We start from the raw sequence: 18,395 nt of genomic DNA on the forward strand, positions 1-18,395 counted from the left end.
TAACCTAAGGCATTTCCCTGCTTCCAGTCTTACCATTCTGATCCCCCAATCCTCCATTTTTCTGCCACCATATGTACCCCAAATGTAAATGTGGTCAGACGGCTCTCCTACTCTAAACCCTTGAGCAGCTACCAGGTGCCTTTGTCACTGGTGTTTTCCAATTTTTTTAGCCTTATCTCCCACCCTCTTGGCTCATCCTCCTGGTCCCCCAGATTATTACACCTTAGGATACACAGTTCACCAATGTCATGTTGTTTTTCACCCAGCTACAGATACAGACAGCTCTCTTCTAAGGAACAGGGCTCTGTTTCTTATACACAAATATTGCCTGACTATTTTCCTCTTGAGAATCTATCCAGTTGAGTTATTTTGCCAATAAATTCTACCTCAAGTAGATACGGTGAAAAACATGAAGATTTTCTTATCTACAAAGACATGCTCTAGATAAGTTGTACTTCAAACTAGCTTATGTATTTATTTAATATTAGGTACTCGATGAATTCAAACTCAGAAAATATTGCTTCAGAATCAGATCTCTTTATTTTGGCTGTTTAGGTTCAGATTTGGGCTGAGTAACTTCCCAATGAGACAGTTTTGGGAAGGCAGTGAGAACAACTATTACATCCTTGACCTGATAAACTATATGGAACATGTCCACATAACTACAATGTGAATATGTTCCATTGGAGCTTTAAAGGTAAAAACCCTGGTACGTATTGGCTTGTCTAATACATTTGATATCACATTTCTATTAGAGGCCTGAATGTTAGAACATTCATCTCCCATATTCACTGGATTAGATGTTTTATCTCTCCAGCTTGGAGTGAAAATTTTTTGACAGCACGTGAGTGAAGTGGCTATCTTTAACTCTTTTCATATTAGATCTACTGGATTCATCTGTTAGAATTCTTTCCCTTCTAAATGTGATATGGCTCTTTGGCAAGCTAACCATGAATTATTTTAACAGTCAGGTGACCTCTATGAAGAAGAAATGTATCATCACTTTTGGGAAAAAAAACAAAAACAAAACAAAACGAAAAAACACTCTGAGGCTGGGTGTGGTGGCTCACGCCCGTAATCCCAGCACTTTGGAAGGCTGAGGCAGGCAGATCACTTGAGCCCAAGAGTTTGAGACCAGCCTGAGCAACATGGAAAAACCCCATCTGTGCAAAAAAAAATTGTTTAATTAGCTGGGTGTGGTGGCATGTGCCTGTAATCCCAGCTACTTGGGAGGCTGAGGTGGGGGTGTTACTTGAGCCCAGGAGGTTGAGGCTGCAGTGAGCCACGATTGCACCACTACACTCCAGCCCGGGTGACACAGTGAAACCCTGTCTCCAAAACAACACCAACAACAAACCCTGAAAATAATGTAAGCTTATCAAAATGGAAACAATGCAATGGCATGTCAGCAAAAAACAGCATGTTAGGGAACTCCAAGTTCGTCCCTCCAGAGAAACAGTGAAAATAACCTGACAAAAAAATGTCAGAATCAACTTTATCTGATCTCTAAAAACCTGTCAAAATTTACAGCAATTAGGCAAGCACTTAAGAGAAAGATGATTCTCACTAAGTGTCTTAAAGATGCCAACCTAAGGCCTTGGTTAGGTTCCTGGTGCCAGAGAGATCAGAGTTGACCTTGTTCTCAAAGAGCTGTGGTTATTTTGTTTTGACCTCTCTGTTGGCTTAAACTGTGTAAAGGGCTTGCTTTTATTTTGCCACACTCAGAACTCTGCCAGAGCAGATAGGCCATTTGTCGTAAACATTTAAAGGCAAATGTATTTATTTGATTTTTATTTTTTGTAGAAACAGGGTTTTGCCATGTTGCCCAGGCTGGTCTCAAACTCCTTGGCCTCCCAAAGTGCTGGGATTACAGGCATGAGCCACCATGCCTGGCCTACAGGCAAATGTATTAGCCAGTGCTGAATGGGGTAAGGGGTAGCAATTGAGGCAAACAATGAATATAATAAATTGTTTCTATAAGTATAGAAAAAAGCTTGAAAGGACACAAAAATATTTTTATAAAGCTGTTTTAAGCTAAGTGTTATTACAAAAGAGTCAAAAAGATAAAAAATTAAAAAGTTCATCAAGTAGAAATGTTATATAGTAAGCTAAGGTTAATTGATTATCAAAAAGCTTGGGGATGTGAGGGGGATCTGGCTGCGACATCTGTCACCCCACTGATCGCCAGGGTTGATTCAGCTGATCTGGCTGGCTAGGCGGGTGTCCCCTTCTTCCCTCACTGCTCCATGTGTGCCCCTCCCGAAGCTGCATGCTCGGTCCAAGAGGACAACCATCCCTGATAGAGGAGGACCAGTCTTCAGTCAAGGGTATACAAGTAGCTGTGCTCCCCTGCTAGAACCTCCAAACAAGCTCTCAAAAAGCTTGGGCAGACAGACTGAAAAGTGACATGCTTTGGGGACTAAGGGCTTTCAAAGCTCCTACATATTCCTTGGAAACTAGATGGCCATGTGCATGCCCAGGACAGAGCACATGCTCAGAAAGACTTGAGAAGGCTCTAAGTTCTCACTTCTGGCTGATATTCAGGCTCTGCACAAGCAGAAACTGAAGCTAAGAAAGATGTAAACTGCCCAACTGAGTGTGGAAGGCATGGCCCCAAGATATACACAGTCTACTGGCAAACACTGGAACTATATATATTATTTATTCATTTATATTTAGTCATACACCACATAACAATGTTTCCATCAACAATGAATCGCATATATGATGGTGGTCCCATAAGAATACAATACAATGGAGCTTTAAAATTCCTATCTTCTAGTGACATGTTACCCTTCCTAATGTCACAGTGCAATGTATCTATTCATGTGTTTGTGGTGAGGCTAGTGTAAACAAACCTGCTGTGCTGCCAGCTGTATAAAAGTATAGTACATACAATTATGTATTGTACATAATATTTGATGATAATAAGCAACTATGTTACAGGGTTATGTATTTACTATACTATTATGGTTATTTCAGAGGGAAATTTAAAAAAAATTATAGAAGGAATAAAGTGTAAAACAGCCTCAAGCAGGTCCTTCAGGAGGTATTTCAGAAGGGGCATTGTTATAAAAGATGACAGTTCCATGCATGTTACTGACCCTGAAGACCTTCCAATTAAATGACATGTGATATTAATGATCATGATCCTGTGTAGGCCTAAGCTAATGTGTGTTTGTGTCTTAATTTTTAACAACAAAGTTTAAAAAGTAAAAAAAAAAAACTAAATAATTTTAAATATAGAAAAAAGCTTATAAGGATATAAAAATATTTTTATACAGCTATATATGAGTTTGTGTTTTAAGCTAAGTGTTATTACAAAAAGTTAAAAAGTTTATAAAGTAGAAATGTTACATAGTAAGCTATGGTTAATTTATTGTTGAAGAGATCACATATTTTTAATAAATTTAGTGTTGTCTAAGTGTACAGTGTTTATACTATAGTGTACAGAAATGTCCTAGGCCTTCACATTCACTTACCACTTACTCAGTGACTCACCCAGAGCAACTTCCACTCCCGCAAGATGTATTCATAGTAAATACCCTATACAAGTACATTTTGTACCTATTATACTGTATTTTTACTATGTTTAAATATGTTTAGATACACAAATACTTTTGTGTTACAACTGCCTACAGTGTTCAGTACAGTAACATGCTACACAGGTTTGTAGCCCAGGAGCAATAGGTTATACCATATAGCCTAGGTTTGCAGTAGGCTATACCATCTAGATTTGTATAAATACACTGTGATATTCACATAAAGACAAAATTGCCAAGTGATGCATTTCTCAGAATGCATCCTTGTCATTAAGCAATGCATGACTATATACTTCTGGCTCCAACTGTTAAGAAAATATCTGTCAAATCATTAGTTGACCAGAGATTCTAAGCTAACTGAAGAGAAATTCTAGTGGCCATACACAGCACAGAATATGAACTTTACAAAAGTGTCTATTTCAGAAAAGTCACTAGACAACACCAACTATAATAAGCAGCAACAAAAACCTCTAGGAAAGTAGAAAATACCACTGCCACATTATATATATCTAAAATGTCTAATACTCAATAAAAAATTATAAAGCATGGAAAGAAACAGGAAAGTATGGTCTTCAGAGAAAAAAAATTAATAGAAATTATCCCTGAGGATGTCCACATATTGCATTTACTAGGCAAAGACTCTAAATCAATTATTTTAAATATGCTTAAAGAGTATGTTCAAAGAACTAAAGGAAAATATGAGAATAATGTCTCACATAATTGAGAATATCAACAAAAATAGACTTTAAAAAAACAAAACAGAAATTCTGGACTAGCAAAATACATAACTGAAATGAAAATTTTACTAGTTGGGGCTCAACAGCAGGCTTGAGTAGGCAGAAGAAACAATCAATGAACACTTAGATCAATAGCGATTACCTGATCTGGGGAGCAGAAAGGAAAAAAATGAATAAAATGAACAAAGCCTAAGAGACCTGTGGAACACTATTAAAAGTACCAACAAACACATAATGGATCTCCAAAAGGGAGAAGAAACAGAAAATGGGGCAGAAAACATATTTGAAGAAAAAATGACAGCAAACTTCAAAAACTGATGAAAGACATAAACCTATATATCTAAGAATCTCAACAAACCCCAAGTAGGAGAAAACTAAAGAGATCCACACCTAGAAACATTAGAATCAAAATGTTAAAAGAAAGAGTCCCGAAAGCAGCAAAAGAAGCAACTTATCATGTATAAGGGATCTCCAATAAAGTTAACAGCTAATTTCTCATCAGAGATTATGGAGGCTAGATGGTAGTAAATTAACATGAAAAAAAAAATCTATCAACCAAGAAGTCTATATCCAACAAAACTATCCCTCAAAAACAAAATAAATTATGATATCCCAGTTAAAAAATTAGAATTCATTGCTAGTAGATATGCTTTATAAGAAATGCTATAAGGAGTCCTTCAAGCTGAAAGAAAAAGATACTAGACAGTAATTCAAATCACAACAAAGAAATAAAAAACACTGGTAAAGATAATGCTGTGGTCTGAATGTTTGCATCCCTCCAAAACTCATGTGTTGAAATCTAATCCCCCATGTGATGGTATTAAGAGGTGGGGCCTCTAAGAAGTGATTAGGCCAAATGGGATTAGTGCCCTTGTAAAAGATGTCCCATAGAGCTGTCCCTTTTTTGCCCTTCAGCCCTGGGAGGACACATAGAAGGGACCATCTATGAGGAAGGGGCCCTCACCAGACAGTGAATATGTTGTACCTTGATCTTGGACTTCCCAGTCTCTAGAACCGTGAGCAACAAATTTCTGTTGTTTATAAATTACCCAGCATAAAGTATTTTGTTATAGCAGCACAGACTAAAACAGGTAACTACATAGATAAATATAAAAGTCATTATTAATGCATTTTGGTTAGTAACTTCAATTTTACTCTACATGATTTAAAAGACAGTTACATAAGGCAGTAATTATAAATCTGTCATAAACAAATAATATAAATCTATGTCTATGGCAGACATTATATACATAAAAATGTAATCTGGAGTGCAGAGTGACAATAAACAACACAAGGAATAGGGAACAGTGCTTGCTATAGGAGCAACATTTTTTATTTTCTTTGTAAAATTAATTTAAAATTTTTCCTTTTTGCATCTCACATTCTAGCAAAATATTTTTATGTGACTGAAACTAAACTGGTATTAATCCAAACTGGATTGCTATAAATTAAGATGTTAACTGTAATTCCCATGGCAAAAACTAAGAATATAAAGATCTACAGTAAAAGAAATGAAAAGTGAATAAAATAGTACACTAGAAAAAAAACTGAATACAAAAAAGGTAGTAATGGAAGAACTGGAGAACAAAGATGACATATAATATACAGAAAACAAATAGCAAAATAGCAAAAGTAAGTCATTCCTTATCTGTAATTACTTTAAAATTAAATGAGTTAAACTGTCTGATTAAAATGCAGATATTGGCAGAATGAATTCAAAACAAACATGATCCATCACAGCAAGTCCTCACTTAAGGTCACTGACAGGTTCTTAGAAACTGCAACTTTAAGTAAAATGACATATAATGAAAATTTTTTTTCATGCTATAATGAAACAGCATTGAAGGAAATGATGCTATTTAAAGACTTACTGCAAGTGGTAGTTTCTAAGACTCTACTGATGATGGCAAGAGAGGATTTACTGTACATGGTGTCTATAAGAGACTCACTTTAGAACCAAGATACAAATAGATCAAAAGTGAATGGATGAAAAAAGATATTCCTTGCAAACAGTAATTAAAAGAGAGCTGGTAGCTATACCAATATTAGGTAAAATCAATTTTAACACAAAAATTGTTACAAAAGACAAAGGACATTATTTAACGACAAAAAGGTCAATCCATCAAGAAGATATAACAATATAAATAACATAAACATGCACCTAACAGAGCCCCAAAATACATGAAGTAAAGATTTAACAGAACTGAAAGGAGAAATAGACAATTCTATAATAACGGAAACTTTAATACTCCACTTTTAATAATGACTGGAACAATCAGAAAGAACAGTAAGAAAACAGAAAACTTGAACAACAGTATAAACCAACTAGACACATCTAACAGACATCTATAGAACATTCCACCCCAAAAGAGAATACGCATTTTTCTGAAGTGCATAAGGAATATTAGCCAAGATATACCCTATTTTAGGCTATTAAATTGGTCTCAATAAATTTAAAAAGACTGAAATCATACTACGTTATCTTCTCCAACCATAATGAAATGAAATCAGAAATCAATGACAAAAGGAAATTTGAAAAATTCACACGTATGTGGAAATTAAACAACACATTTTTAAACAACAAGTAATCAAAAAGGAAATTAGAAACTACTGTAATATGAATGAACGTGCCATTATGTTGTCTCTAAGATAATTGTGAATGTGTTAGAAGACCATCCTCACTAGCAGGAGAGAAGCCTATACTCTTTTTAAAAGAATAAAACTGAAAAGCTCTTTCTTCCTTTATGTTTAGAATGTTTGAGACTAAAATAGGAAAGGCCATAAAATATCAGGGTTTCATTACCCGTTAGATATTTCTTTTTGGATTCATTCCTTCTGGAAGATTTTAATTCATTAATGTTAATAGTTAATCATAACTATTTTTTCTAATTTAAAACAACTGAGGATTAAGGAAAAATAAAATTAAATCACGATATTTAATTTTTAAAGTAAAAAACAAATCTCTAGAGAAGGATACGAATGAAAACGAAAACATACCATGCCAAAACGTAGGATGTGGTAAAAGCAGTGCTCAGAAGAAAATTTACAGTTATAAACACACTTAAAAAAAAAAAAGAAGAAGAAAAATCTCAACCTAACTTTATACCTTCCATGGTTGCTATCCTAAGTTTTGCTACGTAATAGCACTGAAAAATCTGCCTTAGGTGACTCAAGCGAAATTTTTTATTTTATTTTTTACCAAGGATTGGCAAACTGTTTCTGTAAAGGGACAGACAGTAAATATTTTAGGCTTTGTGGGTCAGTCTTCATTACAACCATTAAATCCTGCCATTGTAGTAAGAAAGCAGCCACAGACAATACATACACAAATGGGTATGGTGGTGTTCCAATAAAACTTTATTACAAAATCAGGTAGTGGCTGCTTTTGGCCCAAGGACTGTAGTTTGCTGACCCTGATTTTAATCAATGGATTGACAATAATCTAAAACTCATTCTATTTATACAGTGTCTCCACAAATGTGATACCCACATTTTTAGGTGTGCCAGGTAGTAGAAAAATATTTGGCTAGTTAACCAAAACCAAAACCAAAAGATCTTATCCAGGATCTGACCAAAGGAAACTCTTCAGGTTTTTTTTGGTTTGTTTTTTGTTTGTTTGTTTGTTTGAGACGGAGTCTCGCTCTGTGGCCAGGCTGGAGTGCAGTCGTGTGACCTCAGTTCACTGCAACCTCCGCCTCCCAGATTCAAGAGATTCTCTTGCCTCAGCCTCCCCAGTAGCTGGGACCACAGGCACGTGCCACCACGCCCAGCTAATTTTTGTATGTTTAGTAGAGACGGGGTTTCACCATGTTGGCCAGGATGGTCTTGATCTCTTGACCTCGTGATTCACCTACCTCAGCCTCCTGAAGTGCTGGGATTACAGGAGTGAGCCACCGCTCCCGGCCCGCTCAAAGTAAACTCTTCTTAATGAAACTTCTACTCCCTTGAAAAAGACTCAGGGGTATTAAATTGAAGGGAAGATAATCTACCTGGCTATCAGATTCACTGAGGAAGGAAGACAACATTCATCCAAATTATATTTAGGAACTTCAAACTCTAATTGACATCTGGGACCCTTAATTTGTATAGTGTTATTAATCAAGACCAACTGCCTCAAAGTTAATACAGTCAATGCAGTGCATGACATTTTGGTCAATGATGGACTGCATATATGATAGTGGTTCCCTAAAATTATAATGGAGCTGACCTATATAGGAGTACCATTTTAAATCTTTTTACTGTATTTTTACTGTACCATTTCTATGTTTAGATACATAAATACCATTGTGTTACAATTGCCTGCAGTATTTAGTAACATGTTGTACAAGTCTGTAGCCTAGGATCAATAGTCTATACCATGTTGCCTAGGTGTATGGTAGGCTATACCATCTAGGTTTGTGAAAGTGCACTCCATGATGCTGGAACAACTACAAAATTGCCTAACGATGCATTTCTCGAAATGTATCCCCATCATTAAGCAGTACTTGACTGTAATTCCATGTAATCTTTCTCACTAGGTCTTTGGGTCATTTTCGTATCTGATTTATTGATTAAAAGCTCAAGCTAAACTCTTACTAATGACTTTGCCCTCTTTACTCTGACCTTCACATGTAAATTTAGCAGTCAACACAGCTTTCTCACCCCACCCCAAACCTCTCTCAAAAAAAAAAAAAAAAAAAAGCAGCAAAAAAGCCAAAACAAACGTGTGTGTATACAAGTGCATTCACCACTAGAAGGACTAAATAATAGAGAGATTTAAAGGAAGTTGTCTCTGGTGAGTGGATCAGGAGGATAAGGCAGGAAACTTGGATTCATCACAGTATCTTCAGGATTATAGGATTTTATACCAGATGCATATAAAATTTAAAATAAATAGAAAAAAGAAAATGCTTTAGAAATAAGTTTCAAAATAAAAACTAATTTTCCAGGGCAAATAAAAATAATAAATACAATAATATAGTTTACTTCATGATAAATTTTAAGTCTGGGCTTCTATGGCCAATATGTTACAAAAGAAGTAGGGAGAGGCTTTGGGTTTCTCCATAATAGATCACTGTTAAAGTCAACTGCCTTTGGAGAGATGTATTCAAATTTATGTAAGATTATAACTTTAATTGATTTTCTTAGCCTTAAACTATATATACTAACCAGTGATAAGGTTAATCTATACCAAATCCTGGTTGCTGATAAGAGAACATTTATTATTCTTTGAGAGTCAAGGTCAATAAGAATGATTTCTTGACAAATAAGAAAATAATTTCGAGCACAGTAGAAGGATGTATTCTGCTCCTTTATTTTAGGAATACATTATGTCCCCTATTTTAAACTAGTATCTAAATAAATTTAGATTAATAACACATTTATTTGAGTTGGATACACCTCTGTCCTCTCCATAAGATTAAAAAAGTAAGCGTTCTCCAAAATATAGATAAACAAAAGACTGCAGCTTCAAGAGACAGCTGCTTCTGATATCTAATTACTGGGGGAATTGAGTTGGCAGGAACATCAGACCAACTATCCACAGAACAAAATCATCATTTCTATAATCTGGTAACTAGATCTTAGACTAAATCTTGCCACTGATTTATCTTGAAAAGGAGGTCCCTTTAACAAGTCAATGGCAGGGGGAGAAAGAGAGAGAGGACAGACAGTTTTATAATAAAGAGATTTAAGAGACAGAACAACTGGCCAGGCGCGGTAGCTCACGCCTGTAATCCCAGCACTTTGGGAGGCCAAGGCGGGCGGATCACAAGGTCAGGAGATCGAGACCATCCTGGCTAACACGGTGAAACTCCGTCTCTACTAAAAATACAAAAAAAAAAAAAAAAAAAAAAAATTAGCCAGGCGTGGTGGCAGGTGCCTGTAGTCCCAGCTACTCGGGAGGCTGAGGCAGGAGAATGGCGGGAACCCGGTAGGCAGAGCTTGCAGTGAGCCGAGATCGCGCCACTACACTCCAGCCTGGGCGACAGAGCAAGACACTGTCTCAAAAAAAAAAAAAAAAAAAAAAAACAGATAGAACAACCAAATGTCATGTATGGAACTTGTATGGCCCCTGATTCAAATTAAACCAGAGTAAAAAGGCAGATTTGTGACAACTAGGGACATCTGAATAAAGACTGCTACTAGACGCTGTTAAGGAATTATTCATTATATTGGATGGGATAATAGTATCCTGGGTATTTAATATCTCTTTATCTAAAGAGATGCACAGTGAAGCACTCAGGAATAAAATGTCATAATGTCTGATATTCATTTTAAAATCCTTCAAAAAAAGGATAATATAGGAAAATGATAATTATTAAATGAGTGATGATTAATATAGGAATTCATTAAACTATTCTCTCTACTACTGTTTGTTTTAAGTTTTTCATAATAAAAAAGTATAAATAGTGAACAATAAATACAAAAGTATTATGATTTGTGATTTGTAATATATGTGTCTGTAGGTATTCTTAAAACAGAAGAAATATGCCATAAGAGACAACCTAATAGTGGCCTAGAATTTTCAAAAAAGAAAAAAAGAAGAGGAAGCAGACCAAGAAGGGTAAGTAAGTGGTAAAGTAAAAGCTGTTATTTGATTTAGATTTATTAATAGAAAAGTATAGGTTTTATTATCATCTTTAAGGATGAGAAGGTAACCACTATGTAACAGAAAAGCATATAAAAATTTCCAAATTAATAGAAATTTTACTAAGCCAACAAAAGAAAAATTAAGAAGTATAACACATACTACAGACGAGAGGAAAAACAAAATCAAGCATTTGTTTCTCATTAACTATACATATACTGAGCTCCCTTATCAAAATACAACTGATCAACAAACTAACTTTGAAACAAAACCAAAAAGGCAGAAAACACAGATGAAGAAAAACAGACGCAAACAAAAGAAAAGCAATAGTGTTGATATTAACATTGGAAAATGGGAATTAAAGGTCAAAAGCAAGTAATAGGACAAAGAGTGGTAATAAGTAATGATAAAAGGTCTAATCCACTGAAAAGTTAAAACAGTCATAAACCCTTATGTTCTAAACACTCCAAATTCATTCACATAACAGCAAAACTCCTAAATAGAACTTGATAAAAACAATCACAGCAGAATACTTTAATATACCTTTACCAGAGTTGACATAGTAAGTAAACAAAAAATAAGCAAAATTATAGAGAATTTGAATAATAATTTTTAAAACACTTTGAGGTGTTTATGTTTACAAATATAAGATATATATAAGATAAATATAAGCGGCCGGGCGCGGTGGCTCACACCTGTAATCCCAGCACTTTGGGAGGCCAAGGCGGGCAGATCACGAGGTAAGGAGATCGAGACCTTCCTGGCTAACACAGTGAAACGCCGTCTCTACTAAAAACACAAAAAATTAGCCGGGTGTGGCGGCGTGTGCCAGTAGTCCCAGCTACTCAGGATGCTGAGGCAGGAGAATGGCATGAACCTGGGAGGCGGAACTTGTAGTGAGCCGAGATTGTGCCACTGCACTCCAGCCTGGGCGACAGAGCGAGACTCCATCTCAAAAAAAAAAAAAAAAAAAGAAAGAAAGAAAAAGAAATATAAGCATACAATACCAAGCCTATATTCATGGTTCATTTAAAAAATGAGCAATAAGTCTGGTCACAAAGGAAGTCTTAATTCTAAAACTTAGAGATAGTACAGACTACATTTAAAAATAATAATCAAATAAAATAACCATCAGAGACAAAAATGATTTTTAAACACCTCAGCAACTGACAAGTTAAAAAAATTTTTTTTTCAAGACAGAAATAAAAGTTTAAATTACAAATAGCCTAGAAATTAATGAAAGGGAAAATATTTTACATCAAAATCTATGAGAAATGAAATTCTACACAGAGGAAAATGCATGCAGCTAACAAGACAAACTAAAAATGAATGAACCAAGTACCCAGGCCAAGAAAACAGAAAAAGAACAATTAAAATACACCAAAACAAAGTAGGAAGAAGAAACGGGTAAACATTAATGCAGAAATTAATAAAACAGAAAAGGGAAAAAAGCTAGTTCTTTTGAAAGGCAAGTAAAGTAGATAATTCCCTAGCAAACATAATTAAAATAAATATACCAGACAGAGGGTGCCTCAGTAGTTACTTAAACCTCAGCTTTCTTATCTGGAAAATGGTCACATATTTGCTTTACCTTCCTTCCTTTCCTCTGCTTCTGCCTACTGTACCTTCCAATAGCAATGTCAAATGAACTCATCTGAAAGCTCAGCCCAGCTGGTTCTAAATGTGACACAGGGAACATTACAATCTGTCATTCACCTAATACTGTTGTGTATTTATTTCCTTTCAGACACAGACTGATCCCTAATCCCAGAGCTCCAGTTGCCTTTACAGGGCTTCTTTCTGCTGTGGTTCCTGCCAGATAATCTTGTTCTTGGCTGTCTCCTTTCCAAACACAGTAGCTCTACCCTTGAAAGTCAACCCAGAGCATAGTACCCCTGCCCAAAGCAGGATCTCTTAAACGCTTCAGTGACTGCTATTGCTAAACTGCCTAGTCCAATTTCCCAATGTTATGTTTCTACCCTGCATATAGTCAGGAAAGTGAGAAAGATGGCTGTGGTCAACCGCAAATGTTGGTTTCAAATCCATGCCACATCAGCAAAAAAAAAAAAAATGGATAGGCACCCATATCTGTAAAGGGAAAAGCAAAAGCAACAGAAGCATGGCCTCTATCTCATTTCCACCTTCTAAAACATACACAAGTACATCTCATTGGCCAAATCTACCTTATATCCAGAATACTTGCTGCAAGTGGATCTGGGAAACATAGTTATTAGCTTTCAACACTATGCAAAACAGGAAAAGACACTGGCATGGAAAAATAAATGTTGAAACTAATCCATTGTTTTCATCACATAAAGGTTTTTTTTTTTTCATATTATCCTCCAATTTTAATAAGCAGATTTTTACAGCATGTAAAAAGACTGATAAATTCTCAAAATAAAAGTGCAAACCAGTAAATGTAATAGAATAATACTGGATGCTTTTCTTTACATCTCTGAAATTAATTCACCTTTTAAGGATGTATCCTTATCTCCATATAAATAGACATGTAATATTCCATTCCATACTGACTTTCTCTTCAAAGATTGTCAGGGAAAATTTTTAAGTTTTTCATAGTATGGTTTGTAATTCTCTGGAAGACAGACCAATTCTTTCCATTTATATATTGTTTTAAGTTCCCACTGCAGCTGCAGTGGCTAACTGATCATGGTAGTTTCCTGGTCCCAGTGACTTCCTAATTGTATCAATCACAGTATGGCACAGGTAAGAGAGATTGGATAAGTCTAGGATAATCACAGGGGAGAGAGAATTAAAATACTGTGGAAGAGTGGCAGTGAATTTGTCTTGGATAATCTGCAAAGGAGAAAGAATCGAGTGTAAAAAAATGTTATTAGTCAAATCATGTTGTACACCTTAATATATACTGTTTTTGTCAATTATACCTCAATAAAGCTGGAAAATAAAAAATAAACAGGAAAGAAAAAATGTTGTGAGAACTTTTGATGAATTAGATTGGGGGTAAGGTTGTAAATGACAGACAACTTGTGAGTAACAGACTTGCATAAGCAAGGATACTGATAACATCTGCAGAAATAGGAAAACACTGGAAGAAAATCCGCAGGCCAGAGAAGACAATGAACTTGCCAAGTAGGAGGTGTTTTTGAAATAGTCAAGTGGAACTGCCAGTTAAGCATCTGGATACATAGGTCTGAAACTCAAAGTAGTAGTTTGTATTAGACATATATAAATGTAGAAGCCATTGGTATATGAAGAAAAGTCAAATAGGCATGAAGGATATTGCTTAAAGAAAAACAGAAGAGTGGTAATATATGAAGGCTTAAATGAGCTTTGAAGAATGTCAGCATTGTCAGTACTGCTGATGTCAGGTAAAATGAATACTAAAAGTTATCAACTGGACCAGCTATTATGAAAATCCCTGGGAATCCTGGGAACAGCTGTTTTGCTAGAGTAATGGGTACAGATACCTAAGAAGAGTGGTGTAAAATGAAGGGAAATTTTCAAGAAATTTGGCTGTTGAATGGAAAAAGATACGTGGCTGAGAGAGACTTTCTTTTCTTTTTAAAGAAACATATCTACATAAATACTGATGAGAAAGATATAGTTGAGAGAGGACTTTAAATATAGGTGACAGATAGCAGCACTGACAGTATGTTTCCAGAGCAGGAAGGGGTAGAGTAAGGGACAGAATCCAAAATATGGGAGAAAAGCCAGCATTCAAAGAGGGGACACCATTAGCAGGAAAAAGGAGAGGATACATGTAGGTCTAAGTCTGTAGGTTGGTTGTAAGATGAAAGTATTTGAGTATAAATGTTATAGATCTTGGCCATATATAAAATGTCACGGCCAATAAAAGTTGAGAGAGGAATTCTTTGAATTAACAGGCATGAGGGTACAAGTTGATAGTAAGAGAGATCTTTTACATCCTTCATCAGAGGTGTCTGAAAGGTCACAGTGAGAGAAAAATGGACATGTACATGAAATGGAGATAGGACTGGTAAGCTAGTTTGTACAATTTTGCCCAGCTGTTCTTTAAAAGAGGATCAATAGTGATTAATTCTACATTTAACTTAACCCTTTCTCTCCAAACTAGTGTTTCTTCATAAATTCCAACTTTATACAAAATAACTGATAATTTAGTAATTTGAGAAGTGATAAATGCAAAATCAAAATCATACTAACTGCTGAATAAAATAATTCAAATTCCTTTCTTTTCCTCTTTTTTTTTTTTTTTTTTTTTTGCTCTGTTGCCCAGGCTGGAGTGCAGTGGCGCGATCTCAGCTCACTGCAATCTCCACCTCCCTGGTTCAAGCGATTCTCCTTCCTCAGCCTCCTGAGTAGCTGGGACTACAGGTGTGTGCCACCACGCCCAACTAAATATTTATATTTTTAGTAGAGATGGGGTTTCATCGTGTTAGCCAGGATGGTCTCAATCTCCTGACCTCGTGATCTGCCCGCCTCAGCCTCCCAAAGTGCTGATACACATAAAAATATTTTATAATCTCTACACATTTTATATCCAAATGGCCATTAAATATATAAAAAGTATTCAATTTCCTTAATTACAGAGAAAAAGCAAATTAAAGTCAAAGTGAGATACCACTACATACCTACCAGAACGGCCAAAATATAAAAGATAATGTATCTTTATAAATATTTTATTTTTATAAAAAAGATAATTAGTCCCAAATGTTAAGGCTGTGGAGCAACTGCAACACCAATGCACTGCTGGAGGGAGGATAAACTACTATAACCATTTGAAAACGGTTTGGCAGTATCTACTAAAGCTGAACATACACAAACCCAGCAATGATAGGGCAATTTCATTCCTAAGTACATACGCAACAGAAATGCATATATAAGCTTATTAAAAGATATGTACAACGATGTTCATAGAAACTTTGCTCATAATAGCCCCAAATTAGAAACAACCTAAATATCCATCAAAAGTAGTATCTATCAATAAAATGGGATCCTGCTATGGTTTGAATGTGTCCCCCTGAAAGCATGTGTTGGAAACTTAATCCCTAATGCAACAATGTTGGGAGGAGGAACCTAATGGGAGGTGTTTAGGTCATGAGGGCTCCACCCTCATGAACGGATTAATGGCATAAAAGGGCTTGTTGCCAGTTTCATCTCTTGCTCTCTCTCATGCCATGGGATGATGCAGCATGAAGGCCCTCACCAGATGCTCCCACCTTGATATTGGACTTTCCAGCTCCAGAACTGTAAGAAAGAAGTATATTTTCTTTACAAATTACCCAGTCTGTGGTATTCTGTCATAGTAAAACAAAATTTCATGTGCATGATGTCATGTGCAAAATGTCATGTGATGTCATGTGCAAAATGTCCTGTGCATGATGTTGAGAAACAGAAGCCAATTTAAGAAGCAAATTAGCAAGTAATTAAAAAAATCTATATCAGAATACACATAGCTGACCCTTGAACACCAGGAGTTTGATCTGCAAGGGTCCACTTATATTCAGATTTTTTTCAATAAAAGTTACACAAGTATGCCTGCCTCTCCTGACTCCCGTTCCACTTCCTCCACCTCTTCTGCCTCCGCCATCCTTGAGGCAGCAAGACTAGCCTCTCCTCTCAGTCTACTCAATAAGAAGATGCAAAGATGAAGAACTTTATGATGATCCACTTCCACTTAATGAATAGTAAGTATATTTTCTCTTATGATTTTCTTAATAACATTTTCTTTATTGTAAGAATACAGTATATGATACATATAACGTGTTAATTGTTTATGTTAGTGGTAGGCTACTAGTAGTTACGTTTTGGCAGAGCCAAAAGCTATTCATGGACTTTCCACTGTGCTGGGGGATCGGCACCCCTAACCCCTCTGTTGTTCAAGAGTCTGTTATAATTTGATACTGCATATCTTTTCTATGAATTTTAGCAGCTCCAGAAGCCAGGAATTGTATATGACTTTTGTTTCCTCAGATGAATTTTATTATGTAATAGCTGCTTATTATTTCCTGATCATTATCCCTCAGGAAGTGTTTCATAGTTCTTATCTCTGAAAATAACTGAAATATTTTATTTCAGTATATTTGTTACATTTGACTTTTGACCAAAATTGTAGTCAAATTATTTCTAATAATTTATCATTCAACCTTTGCAGAAATGACAAAGAAGCAAGGCAAATACATAGTTTGATTTCTCAGATACCTCTCTAATGTCATGATTCAAAAATATGGGATATAATAAAAGTATTAATACTAATCAGTCCTTATTTCCTTCCTTGCAGTCTTTTTTTTTTTTTTTTTGAGATGGAGTTTCACTCTGTCACCCAGGCTGGAGTACAGTGGCACAATCTTGGCTCACTGCAATATCTGCCTCCCGGGTTCAAGTGATTCTCCTGCCTCAGCCTCCCAAGTAGCTGGGATTACAGGCATGAGCCACCACGCCTGGCCCAACTTGCAGTCTTGAATGTTAAAGTACCTATCAAATATGAATATTTGAATTTCTGTATATTTACTACTTTGCAAGAATGCCAGAAATCATTGCACAAAATAATTTTAGGAGCAAAGTAAATAAAATGTTGAATCTAAGAAGTACTTAGATATAATATCACAAAAATCTTCAAGTCAGTATTATTGAAATTAATGTGGAAATTTCTAATTCCAGGCAGAGTGTGTTTGGTAACCTGTAGTATATAGCACAGGCTCCCTTGGCCAAGCTTTAACTTTCTGAGGTTTCAGTTACCCATGGTCAACTGCAGTCTGAAAATATTAAGACATTTTGAGACAAAAGAGAGATCATATTCACGTAACTTTTATTATAGTATATTGTTGTAATTGTTCTATTATTATTCCTGTTAATCTTATTGTGCCTAATTTATAAATTGAACTTTATCATAAGATATGAATATATAGGAAAAAACATAGTTTCAGCCATCCATTGGGATTTTAGAACGTATCCCCTACAGATAACGGGAGACTACTGGACATTAGGAACCCAGTTAAGGTTCAAAAAAAGCTTGGGACAAGTTAAAAGTACCTCTTTTTAAAAATGCTTGCCACTTATCTCAGCTTCATGCTTCACTCCCTCCCAATTGGAGAATTTCTAGGATAGAGATGCCAGTAAAACTCATTTAATTAATTCAGAAGAGTAGCCAAACAAATTGTATCTGTCCCAGCAGGAAGTCAGACCTTATCAGTTACAGTGGAGGCAATATTTTTAAACTTTTGCTCATCTTCAGTAGTTAAAGTTTAAAAATCTGTATGTATATTTGGGTTAAGTGTTTTCTGACTAATGCAAAACAAACAAACAAAAACAGGAAAAAAAGTAAGATTCCAGGAAAGGAAATGAAATAACTGTACCTAACCAGTTTTAAAATGAGGGTTCAATTTTCTTCCTTCGCATTACATACCTATGAGAACCAGAAATAAATTGTTGAAATAATTTTTGGATATATTTGGGTATAGTTTATCGTTCTCTGCTTTTAACCAATTGGATGATTTTGAGTCATTTCCAGAACTAGAGTTATGTCCTATTCTATTTGGAAGTATCCATGCTTCAATAAGTGATTGCTCCCTTGCCCTTCCCCCTCCCCCC

General features: G+C 35.5%; 1 protein-coding gene and 1 pseudogene across 4 annotated transcripts in view, besides 1 other annotated feature; one reads left to right on the plus strand and one right to left on the minus strand.

Moving 5' to 3' along the window:
• The window catches only part of DNAJC1 (DnaJ heat shock protein family (Hsp40) member C1), a 247,183-nt gene that overhangs the window by 174,457 nt on the left and 54,331 nt on the right, over positions 1–18,395 (minus strand). The window lies entirely within an intron of this gene.
• Positions 721–1,221: an enhancer, noted in NCBI's record as "H3K4me1 hESC enhancer chr10:22220654-22221154 (GRCh37/hg19 assembly coordinates)". NCBI's record gives its function as "activates a minimal SCP1, AML or CMV promoter by ChIP-STARR-seq in naive H9 embryonic stem cells {active_cell/tissue: H9 hESC(naive)}" and the evidence as "EXISTENCE:reporter gene assay evidence [ECO:0000049][PMID:30033119]".
• Positions 2,139–2,377, plus strand: RN7SKP37 (RN7SK pseudogene 37; annotated as a pseudogene).

Source organism: Homo sapiens, chromosome 10 (assembly GCF_000001405.40).
Source record: "Homo sapiens chromosome 10, GRCh38.p14 Primary Assembly".
Classification (NCBI taxonomy): domain Eukaryota; kingdom Metazoa; phylum Chordata; class Mammalia; order Primates; family Hominidae; genus Homo; species Homo sapiens.